The sequence below is a fragment of the Homo sapiens genome, chromosome 18, assembly GCF_000001405.40.
Source record: "Homo sapiens chromosome 18, GRCh38.p14 Primary Assembly".
Classification (NCBI taxonomy): Eukaryota; Metazoa; Chordata; class Mammalia; order Primates; family Hominidae; genus Homo; species Homo sapiens.
The window spans coordinates 14,107,145-14,129,265 of record NC_000018.10 but is presented as its reverse complement, the minus strand read 5'-3'; the positions used below and the strand labels follow the sequence as shown (position 1 = coordinate 14,129,265).

The following is a 22,121-nucleotide window of genomic DNA, read 5'->3' as shown; positions in this document are numbered from 1 at the left end:
TGCCTAGAAGACTCCTGGCTTATCTCAACTGTAGACACTGAATCTCTATCGGGAACCTGTTTTTTTCACCAACCCAGGTTTCTTGGACTACCTGATCATAATCTCTTCTGATTGTATGAACACAGGAATAAGTCAGAACATAGCGCTGCCTGAGCCTGTATCTGTAGCACAAACCAGTTCCTTAACCAATTCTGCCCTGCATCCCCACCCATAGTTCTTGATAGCATCTTTCTCTTTTCTGCTTTTTTCTTCCCCACAAATCCTCTTTCATGTGTACACAGTGTGCCCAAGGCCATCCCTCCAGTGCCTGAATCCAGTGCCTACTAGAAGTCAGATGTTAATGAGTTCAAGACCAAGCCTTTAGACCCGGCTGTTGTAGGAGCAAATACAAATTAGAAAGAAAAGGCTTAATGCTTTCTCTTTAAAATGAGGGAAGAATTTTTGCTCTTCTTTTCTTAAAGCATTTAGTTTGAAAACCTTTCTCTACTTCTTTGAAATATATGTAAATCATTTTTATCAGTTAAATAGGTCATTTGGTTTTGTGTGTGTGTGTGTGTGTGTGTGTGTGTGTGTGTTTGACTCAGAATTGTCTTAATCTAGGACCTGGGAACTATTGCTTTGAAATGTAATTAGCAAGTTTATACACCCTTTCCCACAGTTTCTGTAGGAGAGTAGAAGGCTGCCTTCAGCAGGTGTCTAACTCCACATTGCAACACTACCTCCTGTCATGAAGATGAGGGAAGTTTATTTTTCCTTTAAATATTACCAATTAGAAAACCCAGATGACAGCCCAAATTATAATAAGCTGTGTATGACAAATGGTACAGTTGAATACTAATTATGTTGACCTTTCTCTGTTTGCAATCTCTTAGTATATTGCCTGTGATGCACATCACATTTTAGTTTAATTATATAACAAAACAGTTTTCTTGCTGTTCTGTTATGGTGGAGAGTTTGTTTGTTTGTTTGTTTTGAGAGAGAGTCTCGCTCTGTCGCCCAGGCTGGAGTGCAGTGGTGCGATCTCGGCGCACTGCAAGCTCTGCCTCCCAGGTTCATGCCATTCTCCTGGCTCAGCCTCCCGAGTAGCTGGGACTACAGGCGCCCACCACCACACCCGGCTAATTTTTTTTTTGTATTTTTAGTAGAGACGGGGTTTCACCGTGTTCGCCAGGATGGTCTCGATCTCCTGACCTCGTGATCCGCCCGTCTCGGCCTCCCAGAGTGCTGGGATTACAGGCGTAAGCCACCGCGCCCGGCTGGTGGAGAGTTTTTTAGGGTCGGAAATGGGTTTGCTTTCAGTTATGTTTTCCACACTGTCCAGCATTACTAGATGTTATACACAAGGTGCCCACCAGGCTTCACTTTAGAGGGAACTTTCTTTCTCAGGATTCCAATCACAACCCACAATTGTGCAGCAAAGTGCCCCCCAAATCTTCAAACAGAATGGTCTCTCTTTGGAATCTACAGTCCCTTCTAGAGCAGGTAGAGTAGATTTTTACAAAAATAACTTTTCAGGACAGCAGTCAAGTAGTCCACCTCCATTAGTGCTCCTGGCATCTTCACATCTGACACTGATTCAGAGATCATGGGGCCCATAAACCCAATTAGGATCACACATGTGCATTAATTAAACCTGAAAACTTCAACTCCCTCCCACCTCCCCTTGCCCAAATGCCCACACATGGGCCACCACTCATCAGCCCTTCAAGACCTAAATGTGCAGCTCCAGATTTTGAATTTATGTCCTGGGATTTGAGAGAAGAAAAGGTGTTGAAGGAGCCTCCATGAGAGGATCTTTCCTCTGGTTTTACTCTGCTTGCTGTAACCCCCAAGAATGCAGAGGCACATTGATCCCACCTAGAATCTGCACATAAAAGCTGGCCTCTGCCTAGGATTCACAAGACAGGGCCAGACTTTGGGTTGAAGACATACAGAAAACTCACAGAAGACATTTTCTGCATCATGAGAGGTCAACATAGACATCTTAAGCATCAGTTTCAGAGTGGAGCCCTTTGAGTTTTCCAGATCTTGTCCAGTGACCTGCTGCAGCTCTGTGAGAGGCTTCTGGTGTCAACAGAATCCTGTAAGTTAAACAAGCACCTTAGCAGTGGGAGGTCAGAGCTACAAAATAACCAGAGCCATAATCACAACTGTGCCTCCCTGTAAACTGTTAGTGGAGTAGAGTATTTTTGTTCTTCCCCTTACCTCAGACTTAGCTGGACAGGGACAGGGGATATTACAGCTAGATTCGGGATCTGTTGCTCCACCAGGGCAGAACCATTTTCTATAATATTTGCACCCCACAAAGCCTGAGTGTCTCCTGTCTCAGGATCATTATGGAGGCGTCAGCCCATAGTCACTGGGGACGCTCTCACCAGCACCTGTGAATTTTGGAGACATTTGAGGATGTCCTGTGCAAATTGGGGTCAGTCTGACTACAAGGTTTAATTCTGCCCCCATTTTAGAGGAAGAGAAATGGTTCAGCCAGGGTTTGTTCCTCCCCTCACAGAAATAATTTCCTTGATTTGTACCCAGATGGGAGTTGCTTCAGTTTTCTGGTTCTTTGGTGAAAAATGAGGAGATCTGGAGACTCAAACTGGTCAATAAGCTACCTGCTTCTATTTCGTATGTCATTAGAAAAAGAGATGAAGCAGTCATGGTCCCTACCATGAAGGAGCTTGCAATCTAGAGCACATGAATAAGTAGTTGAATTCAGCATCGTGTGTTAAGCACAAAGACGGAAGGTGTAGAGGAGACTTAAGCTTCATTTGGGTCACATCCCTTGTTTTGAGTTTTGATGCCACCAACTGAAGGTCTATTCATGGACAGAAGAGAAGTTATTATTTGTATTATTTTTACCTTGCTAAGAATAAATATTTACCTTCTAATATAATTGCTCTAGGAAAACGTAAGGGTTTTGGTTAAATTCCTTCTTATCGTATGTTACAAAATAGGGAAGTGGCTAAAATAGGTTAAAATTGCACAAACTCTGAAAATCAGATTTCTCTTGGTCAGGCTTAGAAAAGATAAAACTGAAAGTTCTTAGCAGCATGGAGATCTGTCCCAACCCTGCGCAGATCCACCCTCTGCTGCTAAACTTTCTCCAGGTCTGATCCCACACTGAAATCTCTCACAGAACTGCCTAGAGGAGATCAGAGTTTGGAGTGACTACCCCTACTGCCTCTCCACAGCTGGTGCTCACAATTTCCTGAAACCCAAAAGGAGATAAAAGGGGAAAAACTATATACTTTGGGGCCTTAAATTCTTTTTTAAAAAATTAGGCCGGGTGCGGTGGCTCATGCCTGTAATCCCAGCACTTTGGGAGGCCAAGGCGGGCAGATCACTTGAGGTCAGGAGTGCAAGACCAGCCTGGCCAACATGATGAAACCCCGGCTGTACTAAAAATACTAAAAATTAGCTGGGTGCGGTGGTGGGCACCCGTAATCCCAGCTATTTGGGAGGTTGAGGCAGGAGAATTGCTTGGACCTGGGAGGCGGAGGTTGCAGTGAGCCAAGATCGCACCATTGCACTCCAGCCTGGGCAATAAGAGCGAAACTCAGTCTTAAAAAAAAAAAAATTAAAACCAGTGTTTCTAGAGACATCCCATCCAGCAACCTGTTCTCCATTCCTGCAGTTTCAATGATTTCTTCACAAGTCTCAAAGTAAATACAAACACTGAATTGCAGTTAACAGTTCCTTTCCGTATCTCTCCATCTGTCTAAAATGAGCTATTATTCTATACATTTTATTTTTAAAATCAATGATAGGAAAACAGAAGAAATAGAAATGGCAGGCCCTGCATTTAAATCCTGGGAAGTGTGGGACAATTAGTACCCACCTCTACAGAAACCTGTTATGAGAATTAACACATAATGTGAGCTTCCCAGCACAGTGCTCTGTGACATACTCTTGGGCACATAGTACATGCTCCATAAACATTGCATTAATGCTTGTGCACATGTTTTTCAACTGCAGACTTATTCAGACATTGCCATTATCTCCTGCCTTTGTAAACTATGTAAAAGGGCCTGCAGAGAATGCCAAGTTTCAGGCTGATGATTGGTGGTCTTTTCTTTGGATGAAGGATATGTGTGTTGTGATAAGGGTGTTGGGATAAGGGATTCTGTGTGTGCCTGCTTTCTCTAGCTGAGTGGTACTATAATGAGTCTACGAGGAGGAATATCAGCATTAACAGGAGACTTGTTATAAGAAGCTAATTCATGGACCCTTTTTAAACCTGCAAAATTTTGTAACAGTGAGGCCTAGAATACCAAATAATTTATATGCACATTGAAGCTTGAGAGGCAGTGCTTAGTTAAGTGCCTCTCAGTGCAGTCTTTCAATAGGATCACATGGAGAGTTTGAAGAGAGACCATCACCTGTGCCCTCCCCAGAGATCCTGTCTATTGTTCTAGGTGAAAACATCCCTGTTTTTTAAATTAAGTTCCTCGCATGATTCTGCAGTGAGGCCAGGGTCAAACATGAGGGCTTCCAGATACTTTAATGAGAGGTGAGTTCACCCGTTGTTCCAGAAGGAGGTCACAGGGCCTGCTCTGCTTGGTTTTGGTAGGGGTAGGTCAGTGCAGCTCATATTTCCATTGCAGCAGCAGAAATTGCTTGCTGGCATCCTTTTCCCTCAGAGTTATAGAATGCTTTAGAGAACATTACTGTGTTAAAAGTTATTTTATCAGATAATCCTAGTCAGCCACATAAGTCAGAACTAGTTATTTTAACTCATTTCATCTCTAGTCAAATTAAGAGCTCTGTCACTTGATATATGTGTTTCCAGGAACTCTTAACATTCAGGGATGTGGCCATAGAATTCTCTCCAGAAGAGTGGAAATGCCTAGACCCTGCCCAACAGAATTTATATAGAGATGTGATGTTGGAGAACTACAGAAACCTCGTCTCCCTGGGTGAGAATAACTTCAATACATAATTCCTAATTCTCCCTCAGAGTTTTATTTTCTTTCTTTGTAGACTGTCTCTTGAGAGCTTCTGCTTTGCATGAATTAATTTCAGTTCTTTTCTTCAAGAAAAAATGGGAGTTTGCTAGTGTAAAAAAGAAAATCTTTTTTTTTTTTTTTTAATTGAGACAGAGTTTCGCTCTTGTTACCCAGGCTGGAGTGCAATGGCGCGATCTTGGCTCACTGCAACCTCCACCTCCTGGGTTCAAGTGATTCTCCTGCCTCAACCTCCCGAATAGCTGGGATTACAGGCGCCCACCACCACGTCTGGCTAATTTTTTGTATTTTTAGTAGAGACAAGGTTTCACCATGTTGGCCAGGCTGGTCTCGAACTCCTGACCTCAGGTGATCCACCCGCCTGGGCCTCCCAAAGTGCTAGGATTACAGGTGTAAGCCACCATGCCCAGCCAAAAAGAAAATCTTTATGATGATTCATCTTTACATAAACCTTCTCTTTTTTTGAGCTAATTTGTTTCCTTTACTCTAGATTAGTGGTAGTTTTAGAAATTGAATGACATAAAATATTGTTTCCCACACCTTTACATTCATTTTGTACCACTTATTTATTTATTTATGTATTTTGCAAACGGAGTCTTGCTTTGTCACCCAAGCTGGAGTGCAGTGGCACAGTCTTGGTTCACTGCAACCTCTGCCTTCTGGGTTCAAGCACTTCTGCCTCAGCCTCCCGGGTAGCTGAGACTACAGACATGCACCACCACGCCTGGCTAATTTTTTGTATTTTAGTAGAGACAGGGTTTTGCCATGTTGCCCAGGCTGATCTTGAACTCCTGAGCTCAGGCAGTCCTCCTGCCTCGGCCTCTCAAAGTATTGAGATTACAGGCGTGAGCCACCATTCCTGGCCCTGTACCAGTTATTTTTGATTCGATAGTACTGGGTAGTGGAACTTAGAACCCGCAGATTTAAAATACTTAAATATTCTAAAGATTCTGTCAGGAAACAAGTTTTGGATTAATTTTCTAGAATCATTTGTAATTTCTCTTTTCTGCTTAGCATAGTACTAGGTTGGTAATTGGAGAATCCCCAGCAACAGTCATGTTGATTTTTTTTTTTTTTTTTTTTAATAAAACAAGTGTTGCTATCTCTAACCAGACCTGGTCACCTGTCTGGAGCAAAGAAAAGAGCCTTACAATTTGAAGATAGATGAGACAGTAGCCAAACCCCCAAGTAAGTGAGGGTGAATGAAGGAGATGACACAGGCAAGGGGACCAAAGGTCAAGAAGGAAGCCAGGCCTTAAAATGTAGTTTAGGCACCACATGTTCTCACTCATAGGTGGGAATTGAACAATGAGAACACATGGACACAGGAAGGGGAACATCACACACCGGGGCCTGTCGTGGGGTGGGGGGAGGGGGGAGGGATAACATTAGGAGATATACCTAATGTAAATGATGAGTTAATGGGTGCAGCACACCAACATGGCACATGTATACGTATGTAACAAACCTGCATGTTGTGCACATGCACCCTAGAACTTAAAGTATAATAAAAAAAAAATCACTTGGAAATGTGAATTTTCAAAAAGAAAAAAAAATGTAGTTTGGGAATCTTTGCTCCAATGAAAATAATTTCTGAAAAGGTTGTGTTTTTTGTTTTGTTTTGTTTTCATATTCACAGATAGGGACATCTTCTGTCTCATGCTCTTAAATTTTCTAAGAATTTTTTTTTTTCTTTAGTGATCTCCCTTCAAGTTTACAGTGAGACCCAATGTCCCCTTTATCACTTATAAAGGGCTGCATGATCTGTCTGCTTTTCCATTGGTTTTGGATACATAGGAATATTTGTATTTTTGAGGAGTTCTATGTTAAAGTATCTTTTTCAGATATTCTTTTTGCATCATGTCTAAAATGTGTAAGGTGAGTAGGGGACATACTGGGATTTGGTTCAGAAATCCCAGCAACACCAGGGACAGATGTTGCATCTTTTCCGCTTAATAATTTTTAATCCTGTAGAGGTTGCAAATGTGATTCTACAAAAATCCTTACTCAGCAATTTTATCAGAACAATAAGCATTTTTCTAAATATGAAAAAATGTAATGTTATTTTACCTCAAAGTGTTACTGCTTTAGAATAAATTGAGATTTGTAATTTAAACTCTATATGTGCAGATTTTCAAATTATAGTTCAAAGAATGAGTGTCCAACCTTTTGGCTTCCCCGGGTCACATTGGAAGAAGAAACATTGTCTTGGGCCACACATAAAATACACGAACACTAATGATAGCTGATGTGCTAAAAAGAAAAAAGGTTCATGCAGTTTTCATGATATTCGTCACCACAGATAAGCAAAAAGTCCTCTCATTCAAAGAGCTGGTTGGACACCACTGATTAAAAGTATCTACTCACCTTCTAGATTTTTTAAATGCCCTGTGTCATTAATGAGCTTAGAACATTGCTAAGCAAATATTAAGCCATCTATTATCTTATTTTTTAATAACTATTATCTTATAATTTTGTCTTATTTAGTAGGGAGCCTGCTGGGACTGTGTCATTGAGATATATCTATATGTATAAATGTGTAAAGTGATACACATACACATACCTATATAAATCGTATATGTGTATACTCAGTTCTTAATGTTGATAGTTCTTAGAAGCTGTAACTGTAAGTGAAGCAACATATTGTTTAAGAAAATGAATTTTACCATAGTTTAACTGATACAAAAGAAAGGTATTTGAATGGCATATAGCAGTGTTGTTTCATTTAAAAAAAAGCCCACAGTTTTCAAGAACCTATTTTGAACATTAAGTGAGGACTTACTCTATGACTGTGTTTGTGTGGCATGGATTTTTCAGATAAATAAAAATTGTATAACTATATATTTAATGTGTACAATGTAATGATTTGATATGTGTATACGTTGTGAAATAAAATATAGTCAAGTTGATGAACACATCTATTACCTTACATGGATAACCTTTTTTTTTTATAGTAAGTATACTTAAGGTCTACTGTTGTGGCAAATTTTAAGCATATGTTACAGTATTACTTACTATAAACAATGCTATCTGGCTAATCTAATGCTAATGTACATTAGATTTCTCAGACTTGCTCAATTTGTAACTAAATTTGTATTCTTTGAACAACATCTCATATTCCCACCCTCAGGCACTAACAACCACCCTTCTACTCTCTGCTTCTATGAGTTTACATTTTTAGATTCCCCATCTAATTGAGAACATACAGTTTGTCTTTCTGTGTTTGCCTTATTTCATTTAGCATAATGTCCTCCAGGTGTATCCATGTTGTAAATGGCTAGATTTCCTTCTCTTATGGCTGAATAGTATTCTTCTCTGTGTGTGTGTATGTACACACACACACACCATATTTTGTCTGTTGTAAACAATACTACAACGAACATGGGGGCTGAAGATACTTCTTCAAGGTGCTAATTTTATTTCCTTTGGTAGTAGTATGCCTAGAAGTGATATTACTGGATTATATGATACTTCTATTTTTATTTTTATTGGTTTTTATGATGACTGTATCAATTTACATCTCACTGACAACATACAGGATTTCCCTTGTATGTATGTCTTCTTTGGGGAAAAATAATCTTTTGTCTATTTTTGAATAGGTTATCATCATCATTGTTTTGCTTTGAATTGCAGAAGTTTCTTACACATTTTGGATATTAACTTCTTATACATGGCTTGCAAATATTTTTCTGTCCTGTAAGGTTTAAAAAAATTTTTTTTTCCTTTCCTGTGCAGAAGCTGTTTACTTTGATGCAGTCCCACTTGTTTATATTTTCTTTCAATGTTATGCTTTTGGTGTTATATGCAAAAAGCTGTTGCCAAGACCAATATCAACAAGGTTTTCCAATATGTTTTCTTCAGGAGTTTTAAGGTTTTATGTCTTACATGTAAGTCTTTTATTTTTAGTTAATTTTAGGGTATGGTCAAAGAAAATAATCTAATTATATTCTTTTGCTTGTGGATATCTAGTTTTTCTGGCACCGTGTATTGACAAGACTATACTTTCTGCATTGTATATTCTTGGTGCTCTTGTCAAAGATTAGTTGACCTTGTATGCATGGATTGCTTCTGGGCTCTCTATTATGTTCCATTGGTTTTTGTATCTGTTTTTATGCACATACCACACTCTTTTCATTACTATAACCTTTAAATAAAGTTTGAAATTAGAAAGTATGATGCCCCCAGCTTTGTTCTTTTTCAATATTGCTCAGGTTATTTCAAGTTGTTTTAGGTTACACTTAAATTTTACAATTTTATTTTCTATTACTGTTGAAAATTCCACTAAAACTTTAAATCCGTAGATTACTTTGGATAATATGGTACTTTGACAGTATTAATTATCCAATGGAATATGTTTCTATTTATTTGGGTCTACTTTAATGTCTGTCATCAATATCTTACTGTATTTAATGTATAAATTTTTTATATCATCAGTTAAATTTATTTTGATTAAACTTCTTTTATACAATTGTAAATAAAAATTGTTTCTTTTTTTGTGGAAAGTTTGTTGTTACTGTATGGAAATGCAACAAATATTTGTATGCTGAGCCTGGTGCAGTGCTGCATTTCTGTAATCTCAGTGCTTTCAGAGGCTGAGGCAGGTGGATCATTTGAGCCCAGCAGTTTGAGGTGAGCCTGGGCAACAGAGTGACACCCTGTCTCAAAAAACCCCAGAAGTATTTGTATGTTGATTATCCTGATACTTTAATAAATGCATTTATTAGTTCAAACAGTTTTTGTTGTTGTACTCTAAGGTTTTATATACATATGTATGATCATATCATCTACAAACAGTAACATTTTTACTTCTTTTCCAAACGGGAGAGCCTTGTTCTTTCCTTGCCTAATTGTTCTGATACAAACTTTCAGTAATATGTTAAGGTAGAAGCATTGATAGTGGCACAGTATAACTACCCATGGCCCTGGAGGCAGACCTACAGACCGTGACCTCAGCTGTGGTCCCTGAAGCAGCCCTGTTTCTGTACATTTGAAGGATCTAACAATGGTTACAGTTTCTGTAAACTGTTTTTGGCAGGTAAAGATCTCCTTTTGTTGGGTTCCCAGGCTGATGAGGTTACCTCTGGGGTTGCAGAGAAGAAGCGTTGTAAAGCTGGGTCACAAGGGTGCTGCTGGGTCACTGTGGGGTCTGCCTTTGATGGTCCTGTTACCAGAGATTAGGATAGTCATGGATTCTTTTTGGGACCTGGAAAGATTAGATTTCCTTTAGGACATTAATCTATATGGCAGGCACTAGGGTAGAGATTTCCTTGTGGACATTAATCTATACAGCAGGCACTAGGGTAGGGTTTTGAAATTTGTCTGCATATGATGAGCCATATACCAGGTGTATGAATGGGTTTGTCTTCTACTAGCTACCTTGAAGCAGTTTTCACAGGTCTCTAACTGGGTGCCTATAACTGGCCATGGACTGTGGCTGTGAGGGCTAGAACTGAGTTACAGGGCTGCTTCCGGGACCACAGCTGAGGCCAAGATCTACAGGCCTGCCTCTAGGGCCATGGCTGGGTGTGTCTTCCTGCATCTCTCTTGATAGGAGGACTATTTCTGAACTATAGCTGAGAGGAGTTTGAGACAGGTTGCAGAACTGCTTCAGGATCCTCAGTAAGACCAAGTTCGGTGCGCCATTTCCTTGTCTGTAGCCATGTCCATGGGCTCTTCAGTTTGCCACCTGGGTGAGGGCCTGCTTTTTCCAAATGACCCTCCTTGATCTTTGGCTCCACAAAGGTTTCACAACCCCAACCATAGGCAGTCATCTTTCTACTGCCTGTTTCTGTAAGTTTATGACATAAGATGTCTTATGTAAGTGGAATCATATACTGTCACTTCATTAGTGTCTTATTTCACTTAAAATAATGGCTTAAAGATTTATTCTTATTGTAGCATCTGACAAGATATTTTCATTTGAGGCTAAAGAATAATTCATTGTGGCCAGGCGCAGTGGCTCACCCCTGTAATCCCAGCACTTTGGTAGGCCGAGGCAGGTGGATCACGAGGTCAGGAGATTGAGACCATCCTGGCTAACATGGTGAAACCCCGGCTCTATTAAAAATAAAAAAAATTAGCTGGGCGTGGTGGCGGGCACCTGTAGTCCCAGCTACTCAGGAGGCTGAGGCAGGAGAATGGTATGAACCCAGGAGGCAGAGCTTGCAGTGAGCCGAGGCCATGCCACTGCACTCCAGCCTGGACGACAGAGCGAGACTCTGTCTCAAAAAAAAGAATATTTCATTGTATATATAAGGCACATCTTTAAAAATTACCTATTCATTGAAGAACATTTGCGTTTTTTCACTTTTTGTCTTTTGTAAATGATATATTTTGGATCTGGGTTCCCATTTAAATCTCATCTAAGATTGCAGTTTCTAATGTTGGAGGTGGGGCCTGGTGGGAGGTGATTGGATCATAGAGTTGGTTTCTCATGAATGGTTTAACACCATTCCCTTTGGTACTGTCTGTGCTGTAGTAAGTTCTCCTGAGATCTTATTTTTAAAAATCATGTGGCACCCCCACCCTCACTCTGTCTTGCTCCTGCTCCCACCATGTGAGATGACTCACTCCCTCTTTGCTTTCTGCTGTGATTGGAAGCTTTTTGAGGCCGACACAGAAGCAGAAGCTGCTATGCTTCCTGTACAGCCTGCATAACCATGAGCCAATTAAACCTCTTTTTTTTAAAATACCCAGTCTCAGGTATTTATAGCAGTGCAATAATAAACGAATACAGTGAATATTGCTGCAATGAACATGGATGTGCAAATATTTCTTTCAAGTATACTCTGCATATTTTGATTAGATGCCCAGAAGTCACTTTTTCCCTACCAGCAGTGCACAAGGGTTTCAATTCCTCTATGCTCTTGACAACATTTGTTATTTTTTGTTTGCTTGATATTGGCCATCCTAATTAATGCACAATAGTATCTCATTGTGGTTTTGCTTTACATTTTTCTAAAGACTAGAAATGTTTTCAGTAATTGCTATGTGTATTATTTCATCTTTGGAGAAACATTTTAATCTCTTGTCCATTTGTTAATCATGTTACTTACTCTTTGTTGTTGATTTTTCAAAGTTTATATATTCTGGGTGTTAACTTCTGTCAAACATACAATTTTTTTTTCTTCTTCTGCTTACTTCACTAAATGTTTAGCGTGCAGAGATAAATTTAATGTAGTCCCATTTTTCTGTGTTTTTAAATTTGTTGCTCATGTATTTGATGTTATATGCAAGAAAACATTGCTGAGACCAATGTCATAATCTTTCTCCCTATATTATTATTATTTTGAGATGGAGTTTTGCTCTCGTTGCCCATGCTGGAGTGCAATGGCATGATCTTGGTTCACTGCAACCTTCCCCTCCTGGGTTCAAGCGATTCTCCTGCCTCAGCCTCCTGAGTAGGTGGGATTACAGGCATGTACCACCACACCTGGCTAATTTTTAAAAATATTTTTAGTAGAGACAGGGTTTCACCCTGTTGGTCAGGCTGGTTTTGAACTCCTGACCTCAAGTAATCTGCCTGCCTTGGGCTCCCAAAGTGCTAGGATTACAGGTGTGAGCCACCACACCCAGTCACCCTATATTTTCCTCCAAAAATTGTAGAGTTATAATTCTTACATTTAAATATTTAACTCATTCAAGACAGTTTTTGTGTATGGTTTAGGGGAAGGATCCAACCTCAATTTTTCCCATGTGGATATAGAGTTTTCCAACACCATTTATTGAAGAGACTATCTTTTCCTTAATATGTTGTTATAGTAACCTTGTTGAAGATCATTTGACCATATACACAATGCTTTGTTTTTGAGTTCTCCATTCTGTTCCATCATCTGTCTTCCTGCAAGTACCGCACTGTTTTTATTTATGTAGCTTTGTAATCTATTCTAAAAACAGGAAGTGTGGTGCCTCTAATTTTGTTCTTTTTTTCTAAGAATGTTTGGGCCATCAATGGTCCTTTGAAATTCTGTGTAAATGTAATAATTTAAAAATATATTTCTTCAAAAAATATCTTTTGGATTTTCATTGAGACTACATTGAATTTGAATATCACTGGGGATACTATTGTCATTTAACAATATTAAATCTCCTGACACTTAAAGAAGAGTATCTTAAAGAGTTTGTTAAGTTTCACAGATTTTTCAATTTGGCAATTTTGCTTCTGCTTTTGATTTCTAGTTTTATTCCATGTGGTAAGAAAGGATACATTATATGATTCAATCTTTAGTGTGTACTAGGCTTAATACCTTGGTGAAAAAATAATCTGTACAACAAACCCACATGACACAAGTTTACCTATATAACAAACCTGTACATATAACCCCAAACTTAAAAGTTAAAAAGAATAAGAGTTGCTTTGTGTCCTAACAGGTTGTCCATGAAACAACAACTACCCATTTTCTCCACTTAGCCCCTGACACAGTTCAGTCTGTTTTCTGTTTCTAGGAGTTTAACTACTTTAGGTATCTTACATAAGTAAAATTGTATAGTATTTGTCTTTTTGTGCCTGGCTTTTTGCACATAAAGTCTTAAAAAATGTATTTATTGTGAATATAACAACATTTTCTGCTTTTAAAAACCTGAATATTATTTATTTGTATATTTGAAATTGTCTTTATTCATTTATTAAGTTGGTTCTTTCCACTTACTTGCTTCTGTAAATAATACTACAGTGAATATGGATGTGCAGATTACTCTTCATTTGATAATATATGCAAGGGATTATTGATGTGCTCTGTTCTGTTTCACTGGTATTGTCTCTTTTTAATCCGGTTATAAACTATTTTGATTAATATAACTTTATAATAGGTTTTTAAAATCAGGGTGTATGCCTCCAATATTTCTCTTTTTGACAATTGTTGAACACTTGTGGTCTCTTTAGTTCTGATATAATTTTTAGGATTGCTTCTTATATTGATGTAAAATATGTATAGCCATCATCCAGAGTATACCACCATTTCCTTCAGCACTCTGTCAGGGGAGCCAAACCCCATCTTTGGATAGCCCCTCGGAAACCAGAGATGTGGACACATACTCCACACTTCTTTCTCTCCTGAGGAAGAAACATAGAGTTGGGAGTTTCTCCTGGTTGTACCATGCTGTACTGGGAGAAGATAAAGCTGTGCTGGGCACATGTAATAAAATTTTCCTTCTCTTCTACATGCTTTTGGAATGGATAAAGCTACAGCAACTGAAGTAGTACAAATTCTTAACTGTGTTTTGGAATTCCCACAAAGGCAATGTGATCAACGTGGTGTTAAGTGCATATATCTATGAAGAAATGAAGACCAGTGGTCTTTTTTTAAGCTTTGCAACTTAAATTTATATATATTTTTTACTTTTAAATTTTATTTTTTAATTTTTGTGAGTACATAGTAGTAGCTATATATATCTATGGGTTACATGAGATATTTTGAAGTAGCCATGAAATGCATAAAAATCACATCAGGGTAAATGGTGTATTCATTACTTCAAGTATTTAATCCTTTGTTTACAATCTAATTACGTTCCTTTTGTTATTTAAAAATATACAATTAAATTGCTTTTGACTATAGTTACTCTGTTGTACTAGCAACTACTAAATCTTATTCTAATTATTTTTGTGCTCATTAACCTTCCCCACTTCCCACCAACCCCCCACTATACTTTCCAGCCTCTGGTAACAATTCTGCTCTCTCCCTCCATGAACTGAATTAATTTAATTTTTAGCTCCAGCAAATGTGTGAGAACATGCAAAAGAAACTGGAGGAAACATAGTATTTGACTGTAAATGATACTACAGAGCTATAGTAATTAAAACAGCATGGTATTGATCAGTGAAACAGTAGAGAGAACGCAGAGATAAATCCATATAGCTATAGCAAACCTATTTTCGACAAAGGTTTCAAGAATATATATTGAGGAAAGGAATTTATTGTCTAAATTATGCTACAGAAACTAAATATCCATATTCAGAAGAATGAAACTAGACCCCTATCTCTTGCTGTATTAAAAAGTTAAATCAAAATGGATTAGAGACTTAACTAAGACCCAAAACTATGAAAGTACTATTAAGAAAACATTGTAGAAACTCACCAGGAAATTAAATGGGGTAAAGATGTCTTGAATAATACCCTGCAGGCACAGGCAACCAAAGCAAAAATGGACAAATGGAATCACATCAAGTTAAAGAACTTTTAAACAGCAAGTGAAACAATCAACAAAGTGAAGAGACAACATACCAAATGGAAGAAAATATTTGCAAATGGCCCATCAGAAAAAAAATTGATAACCAGATTATGTAAGGCACACAAACAACTCTATAGGATAAAATTTAATAATCTGATTAAAAATGAGCAAAAAATGTGAATAGACATTTCTCTAAAGAGGGCATACGAATAACAGTGCATGTGACAAGGTGCTCAACATGTGGTCATCAGAGAAATGCAAATCAAAATGACAGTGAGATGTTATCTCATCCCAGTTACAATGGCTGTTCTCCAAAAGTCAGGCAATAACAAATGCTGGTGAGTATGTGGAGAAAAGGGAACTCTAGTACTCTCTTGGTGGGGATGTAAATTATTACAGCTACTATGGAGAACAGTTTAGAGTTCCTCAAAAAAAAAAAAAAATAGAGCTACTATACTACCTAGCAACCCCAATCCTAGGTATGTACACAAGGGAAATCAGGACATCAGAGAGAGATTTGCACCTCCATTTTTATTGTAGCTGTGAACACAAAATATCTGAGACAGGTCTCATCCAATTTAAGTAGTTTATTTTACCAAAGTGAAGGATGCACACCTATGACACAGCCTCAAGAGGTCAGGGCACAGCTTGGTTTTATACATTTTAGGGAGACATGAGACTTCAGTATGTGTAAGTTGTACGTTGGTTCAGTCTGGAAAGGTGGGACAACTCAAAGCAGGGAGGGAGTTTCCAGGTCATGGGTAGGTGGGAGACAAACGGTTGCATTCTTTTGAGTTTCTGACTAGCCTTTCCAAAGGAGGCAATCAGGTATGCATTTATCTCAGTGAGCAGAGGGATGACTGAATAGAATGGGAGGCAGATTTGCCCTAAGCGGTTCCCAGCTTGACTTGTCCCTTTAGCTTAGTGATTTGGGGGTTCAAAGATTTATTTTCCTTTCACACAGCATTGTTTACATTAGCCAAGATTTGGAAGTAACCAAAGTGTCTATCAAAAACAGATGAATGGATAAAGCCAATGTACATATACACAAAGGAGTACTTTTCACTTATAAATAATAAGATCCTGTTGTTGGCAACAACATGGATGGAACTGGAGGTCATATGTTAAGAAAAATAAGCCAGCCACATAAAGGCAAAATTTTTTCTTGCAAGACCTTTGGCTCTTCTGAGTCTTTTTTGGTTCTGTCCACTTTATAGGATTGTTTTTCCTATTTCTGTGAAGAATATCATTGATGTTTTGATAGGGTTGCATTAAGTCTGTAGATTGGATTGGGTAGTATAGACACTAAAAATACTGATTTTTCTTATGAACAAAAAATATATTTTCTTTTTTGTCTTTTTAAATTTCTTGCATCAATGTTTTATAGTGTTCATTGTACAGATCTTTAATTTCTTTGGTTAATTCCTAGGTATTTTATTTTAATTTGTGGCTATCGTAAATGGGATTACTCTCTTCATTTCTTTTTCACATTGTTCACTGTTGGTATATAAAAATGCTGCTAGCTTTTTAATCCTATATCTTGACTAAATTTATGAGTTCTAATAGTGTTTTAGTGAATTAGGATTTTCCAAATATAAGAGCACATCATCTGCAAGCAAAGCTAATTTGACTTCTTCCTTTCCAATTTGGTTGCCCTTTATTTTTTTCTCTTGTCTAATTGCTCTAGCTGCCATATGTTGAAATAACAGTGGTGAAAGTGTGCATCCTTGTCATGTTCTCAATCTTAGGAAAAGCTTTTCATTTTTCCCCATTTAGTATCATATAATGTGAGTGTCATATATAGCTTTTTATATGTTGAGGTATGTTTCTTCTATAGTTTTGAGGGTTTCTGTCATGAGGGGATATTAAATTTTATCAAATGATTTTCAGGATCAAAATGATCTTGGTTTTTGTTCTTTCTTTTGTTGATATGATGTATTACATTAATTGATTTGCATATGTTGAAGTATCTTTGCATCCCTGAGATAAATCCTACTTGATCATGAGGTATAATAATCTTTTTAATCTGTTGCTGAATTTTACTTGCCAGTATTTTTATTAGAAATTTTACATCTATAATAATCTTTTTAATATGTTGCTGAATTTTACTTGCCAGTATTTTTATTAGAAATTTTGCATCTATTGCTGATATTGGCCTATAGATTTTTTTGATAGGCGTTTGTCTGGTTTTAGTATGAGAGTAATGCTTGCCTTACAGAACAAGGTTGGAAGTGTTTCCTCCTCCTCTGTTTTGGAATAGTTTAAGTCAGATTGCTATTAGTTTTATACATGTTTGGTCGAATTCAGTGAAGCCATCAGATTTCAGGCTTTTCTCTCATAGGAGGTTTTTTATTATGGATCTCAACATGTCTTGTTTGTCTATTCAGGTTCTGGATTTCTTAACAGTTCAATCTTGTTAGGTTCTATGTGTCTAGAAATTTATCCATTTGTTCTAGATTTTCCAATTTATGGCATCTATCTGCTCATAGCAGCCACTAATGATCTTGAATTCCTGCAGTATAAGTTGTAGAGTTGAAATGTCTCCTTTTTCATCTTTGTTATTATTTATTTGAGTCTTTTTTTCTTTTTTCTTTTCTTTCTTTCTTTTTTTTTTTTTTTCTTTTTTTTGAGTAGGAGTCTCACTCTGTCGCCCAGGCTGGGGTGCAGTGGCTTGATCTTGGCTCACTGCAACCTCCTTCTCCTGACTTCCAGCAATTCTACCTGCCTCAGCCTCCCAAGTAGGTGGGATTACAGGTGCCTGCCACCGTGCCCAGCTAATTTTTATATTTTTTAGTAGAGACGGGGTTTCGCCATGTTGGACAGGCTGGTCTTAAACTCCTGACTTCAGGTGATCCCCCTGCCTTAGCCTCCTAAAGTGCCGGGATTACAGGCATGAGCCACTGTGCCTGGCTGAGTTTTCTTTTTTTTTCTTAGTCTGGCTAAAGGTTTTTTTTTTTTTTTTTTTAGAAAACAACTTTGCATTTTATTGACCTTTTGTATTTTATTTATTTCAAATTCATTTATTTCTGCTTTGATCTTTATTATTTCTTTTCTTCTAATTTTGGCTTTGTTTGCTAGATACATCATTAGGTTTTTTCAATGGTTTTGGAAATACAGGTGGTTTTTCGTGACACAGATAAGTTCTTTAGTGTAATTTCTGAGATTTTAGTGCACCTGTCACCCGAGCAGTGTACACTGTACTTAATATGTAGCTTTTATCCCTCACCCGCCTCCCAGCCTTCCCCCTCAAGTCCCCAAAGTCTATTACATTACTCTTATGCCTTTGCATCCTCGTAGATTAGCTCTCACTTATAAGAATATACAATATCTAGTTTTCCATTTCTGAGTTACTTCACTTAGAATAATAGCCTTCAGCTCCATCCAAGTTGCTGCAAATGACATTTTATTTGTTAAGTGTTCCCATTTCACCACAACCATGCCAACATCTGTTGTTTTCTTGACTTTTGAATTATGGCTATTTTTGTAGGAGTAAGTTGGTATCTAATTGTGGTTTTCATTTGTATTTCTCTGATTAGTGATGTTGAGCATTTTTAGATTATTGTTCGGTGTTCGTATGTCTTCTTTTGACAAATATATATTCATTTTCTCTGCCTACTTTTTGATGGAATTATTATTATTTGGCTAATTTATTTGAGTTCTGTATAGATTCTGGATACTAGCTTTTTGTGCGTAGTTTGCAAATATTTTCTGCTACTCTGTGGGTTGTCTATGTACTCTGCTGATTATTTCTTTTGCTGTGCAGAAGCTTTTTAGTTTAATAAGGTCCCATTTGTTTATGTTTGTTTTTGTTGCATTTGCTTTTGGGGTCTTAGTCATGAATTTTTTGCCTAAGTCAATGTCCAGAAGAGTTTTTTTATATGTTACCTTTTAGAATTTGTATGCTTTCAGGCCTTAGATTTAAATCTTTGATCCATCTTGAATTGATTTTTGTATACGGTCAGAGATGGGGGATCCAGTTTTATTCTTCTATGTGTGGCTTGCCAGTTTTCCTAGCACCGTTTATTGAATAGGGTGTTGTTTCCTCAATTTGTTTATTTGTATGCCTTGTTGATTATTAGTTAAGATGAGTTGCCTGTATTTGGCTTAATTTCTGGATTCTCTATTATGCTTCATTGGTCTATGTGTCTATTTTAATAGCAATACCATGCTGTTTTGGTAGCTATAGCTTTGTAGTATAATTTGAAGTAGGGTAATGTGATGCCTCCAGATTTTTTATTTATTTTGTTTTGGTTAGTATTACTTTGGCTACGTAGGCTCTTTTTTGATCCACATTAATTTTAGGATTGTTTTTTATAGTTCTGTGAAGAATACTGATGGTATTTTCATGGAAATTTCAGTAAATCTGTCATGAAGTTGTTTATTTGAGTTTTTTATGTAGACACTTTTAGTTATAAACTTTTAGTACTGCTTTTACTGTATATCCTAAGTTTTCATGTATTTCCATGATCACATATTTCAGAAATATTTCAATTCATTTATTAATTTCCTCATTGACCCATTGGCCTTTCAGGAGCATATTGTTTAAATTCTATGTATTTATATAATTTCAAAACTTTTTCTGGTTATTAATTTCTAGGTTTTTTCATTGTAGTCAGAAAAGATGCTTGATATTATTTTAATTTTTAAAATGTTTTAAGACTTGTTTTGTGACCTAACATATGGTCTATCAATGAGAATGATTCATGCACTGCAGAGAAAAATGTGTATTCTGAAGCCATTCGATAAAATGTTCTGTAAATATCCATTATGTCCATTTGGTTTATAGCACAGATTAGGCCTGATATTTCTTCGTTGGTTTTTCTGTCTGGAAGATTTATTCAATGCTGAAAGTGGGGTGTTGCAGTCTCTAGGTATTATTATATTGGGGCCTGTCTCTTTAGCTCTAATAATACTGGCTTAATATATCTGAGTACTCCAGTGTTAGGTGCATATGTATGTAACATTCTTATATCTTCTTGATGAATTAACCTCATTATTATTTTTTTTTTTTTTTTTTGAGACGGAGTTTCTCTGAGTTTCGCTCTTGTTGCCCAGGCTGGAGTACAATGGTGCAATCTGGGCTCCCTGCAACCTCTGCCTCCCAGGTTCAAGTGATTCTCCTGTCTCAGCCTCCTGAGTAGCTGGGATTACAGGCATGTGCCACCATGCCCGGATAATTTTGTTGTTGTTGTTGTTTTGTATTTTTAGTAGAGATGGGGTTTCTCCATGTTAATCAGGCTGGTCTCAAACTCCCAACCTCAGGTGATCCACCCACCTCGGCCTCCCAAAGTGCTGAGATTACAAGCATGAGCCACTGTGCCCAGCCCTCATTATATAGATAACCGTCTTTGTCTCTTCTTATAGTTTTGTCTTGAAATCTATTTTGTCTGATATAAGTATAGCTACTACTGCTTTTTCTGTTTGTTTTCATTCACATGGAATTTTTTAAATCTTTTTAATCTATGTGTTTATAGGTGAAGTGTGTTTCTTGTAGGCAACAAATCAGTCTTTTTTTTTTTTATCCATTTAGCCACTCTATGTCTTTTGATTGGAGAGTTTAGTCGATTTACATTCAGTGTTGTTATTGATTATATAAAGATTTACTCCTTCCATTTTGTTGTTTTCTTGTCTTGCTATCAACAGCAAGAGGGGACCTGAAAGTGGGTAGCCATCTGTGAGGCTGAGTCCAGGATTTTTATGGGTTTAGAATGGGGGAATGCATGCTGACTGGTTCATGGGTGGACTTGGAAAAGGCACCATTCAATTGATTAAAAGGAATCATTCTCAAAGAACTAATAGAGAGAGTGGGTTAGGGATGGAAGTTCTCACTCCAGTCCATGAATTCTTCCTGGAACTGGTAGCTCAGTTTTCAGGCTTTAGACTGTCCTTTCCTCGAAGGTCGAGTTTCACCAAGGACCCATCCCTGCCTGCCTAGGAGTTTGTCTTCTGTCACTATCAGTAGGACTGCAGTGGGTCAGACCTGAAACCAGCACAGCAGTTGATCACACCCAAGGTGAGCTGTAACCACTACCTGGTACCACCAGTAATTGCTCAAGGTCCTGGGGCTTTATAATTTGTAGGTGGTATCCTACAAAGGGCTTGCCAGCGTTGTATCCTTTCCTTCAGAGTAGTGAGTTCCCTCAGGCTCTCGGCAAGCCCATCGGTGCCATCCAGGAGCCAGGGGCTAGTCAATAACCTTAGGAGTCTACTTCGTTTTCTGTTGTACTGTGGTAGAGCTAGCAATTAAACCGTAAGATTCAGTTCTTCCCATTTTTCCGTCCTTATTCCACAGGCAGAAGAGCCTCATCCCATTGCTACCATCACCACAGGCCCATGGGGAATACCGCCAGGCTACCACCAATGTTCCCTTAAGATTCAAGGCTCTTTAGTTCACTTGTAGTGAATGATGCTTGGCCTGGTACTCACCCTTTTTGTCAGTGGTGTCCCTTTTGTCTCAGCGCAGGTCCAGAAGTGCCATCCAAGTGCCAAGGCCTGGAATAAGGGACCCCAAGAGCCCACTTGATGCTCTTCCTCCCTTTGGCCATGCTGGGACCTAAGTTGGCAAGATGAAATCCTCTATAGTTTTTCCTCTACCCTTTTCAGTGACTCCCTGTAGCCACCACAGTTGTGAATGTGCTGAGTCTCACCTGATTCTAGCAAGCCTCAGAGTCCCAATGAAAGCTCATAGCAAACTACCTGGTTATCACTGCAGATTATTCCAGGTCGAGGGCTCTTTACTTAGCAGTTGATGGGTCTTGTCAGTGCCAAAATTTTTCATTCAAGGCAGCAGATTTCTTTCTGGCCCAGCATGTACCTAGAAATTTTAACTAGGAGCTAGTGGCTGAAAAGGGGTTTCACAACTCTGACTGGTGGCCTTGCTGGTATCCAAAATGCAAGACAAAGTCCTGTTTACTCTTTTCTGTCTTCTTAAGTAGATGGACTTGGTCTCTTGAATCTGTGAACCGTGCAGCCTTAGTTTGGAGGAGGGGT

General features: G+C 38.1%; 1 protein-coding gene across 2 annotated transcripts in view; it reads left to right on the top strand.

Annotated features, from left to right (window-relative positions):
* The window catches only part of ZNF519 (zinc finger protein 519), a 61,315-nt gene that overhangs the window by 3,170 nt on the left and 36,024 nt on the right, over positions 1–22,121 (top strand). Inside the window, exon 2 of one of the 2 annotated variants that reach the window (NM_145287.4) lies at positions 4,790–4,916. The exons of the other annotated variant lie outside the window; for it this stretch is intronic. Within the exon in view, the coding sequence (NP_660330.2) occupies positions 4,790–4,916 (127 nt within the window). The remainder of the gene's footprint in view (positions 1–4,789; positions 4,917–22,121) is intronic. 2 annotated transcript variants of the gene reach the window in all.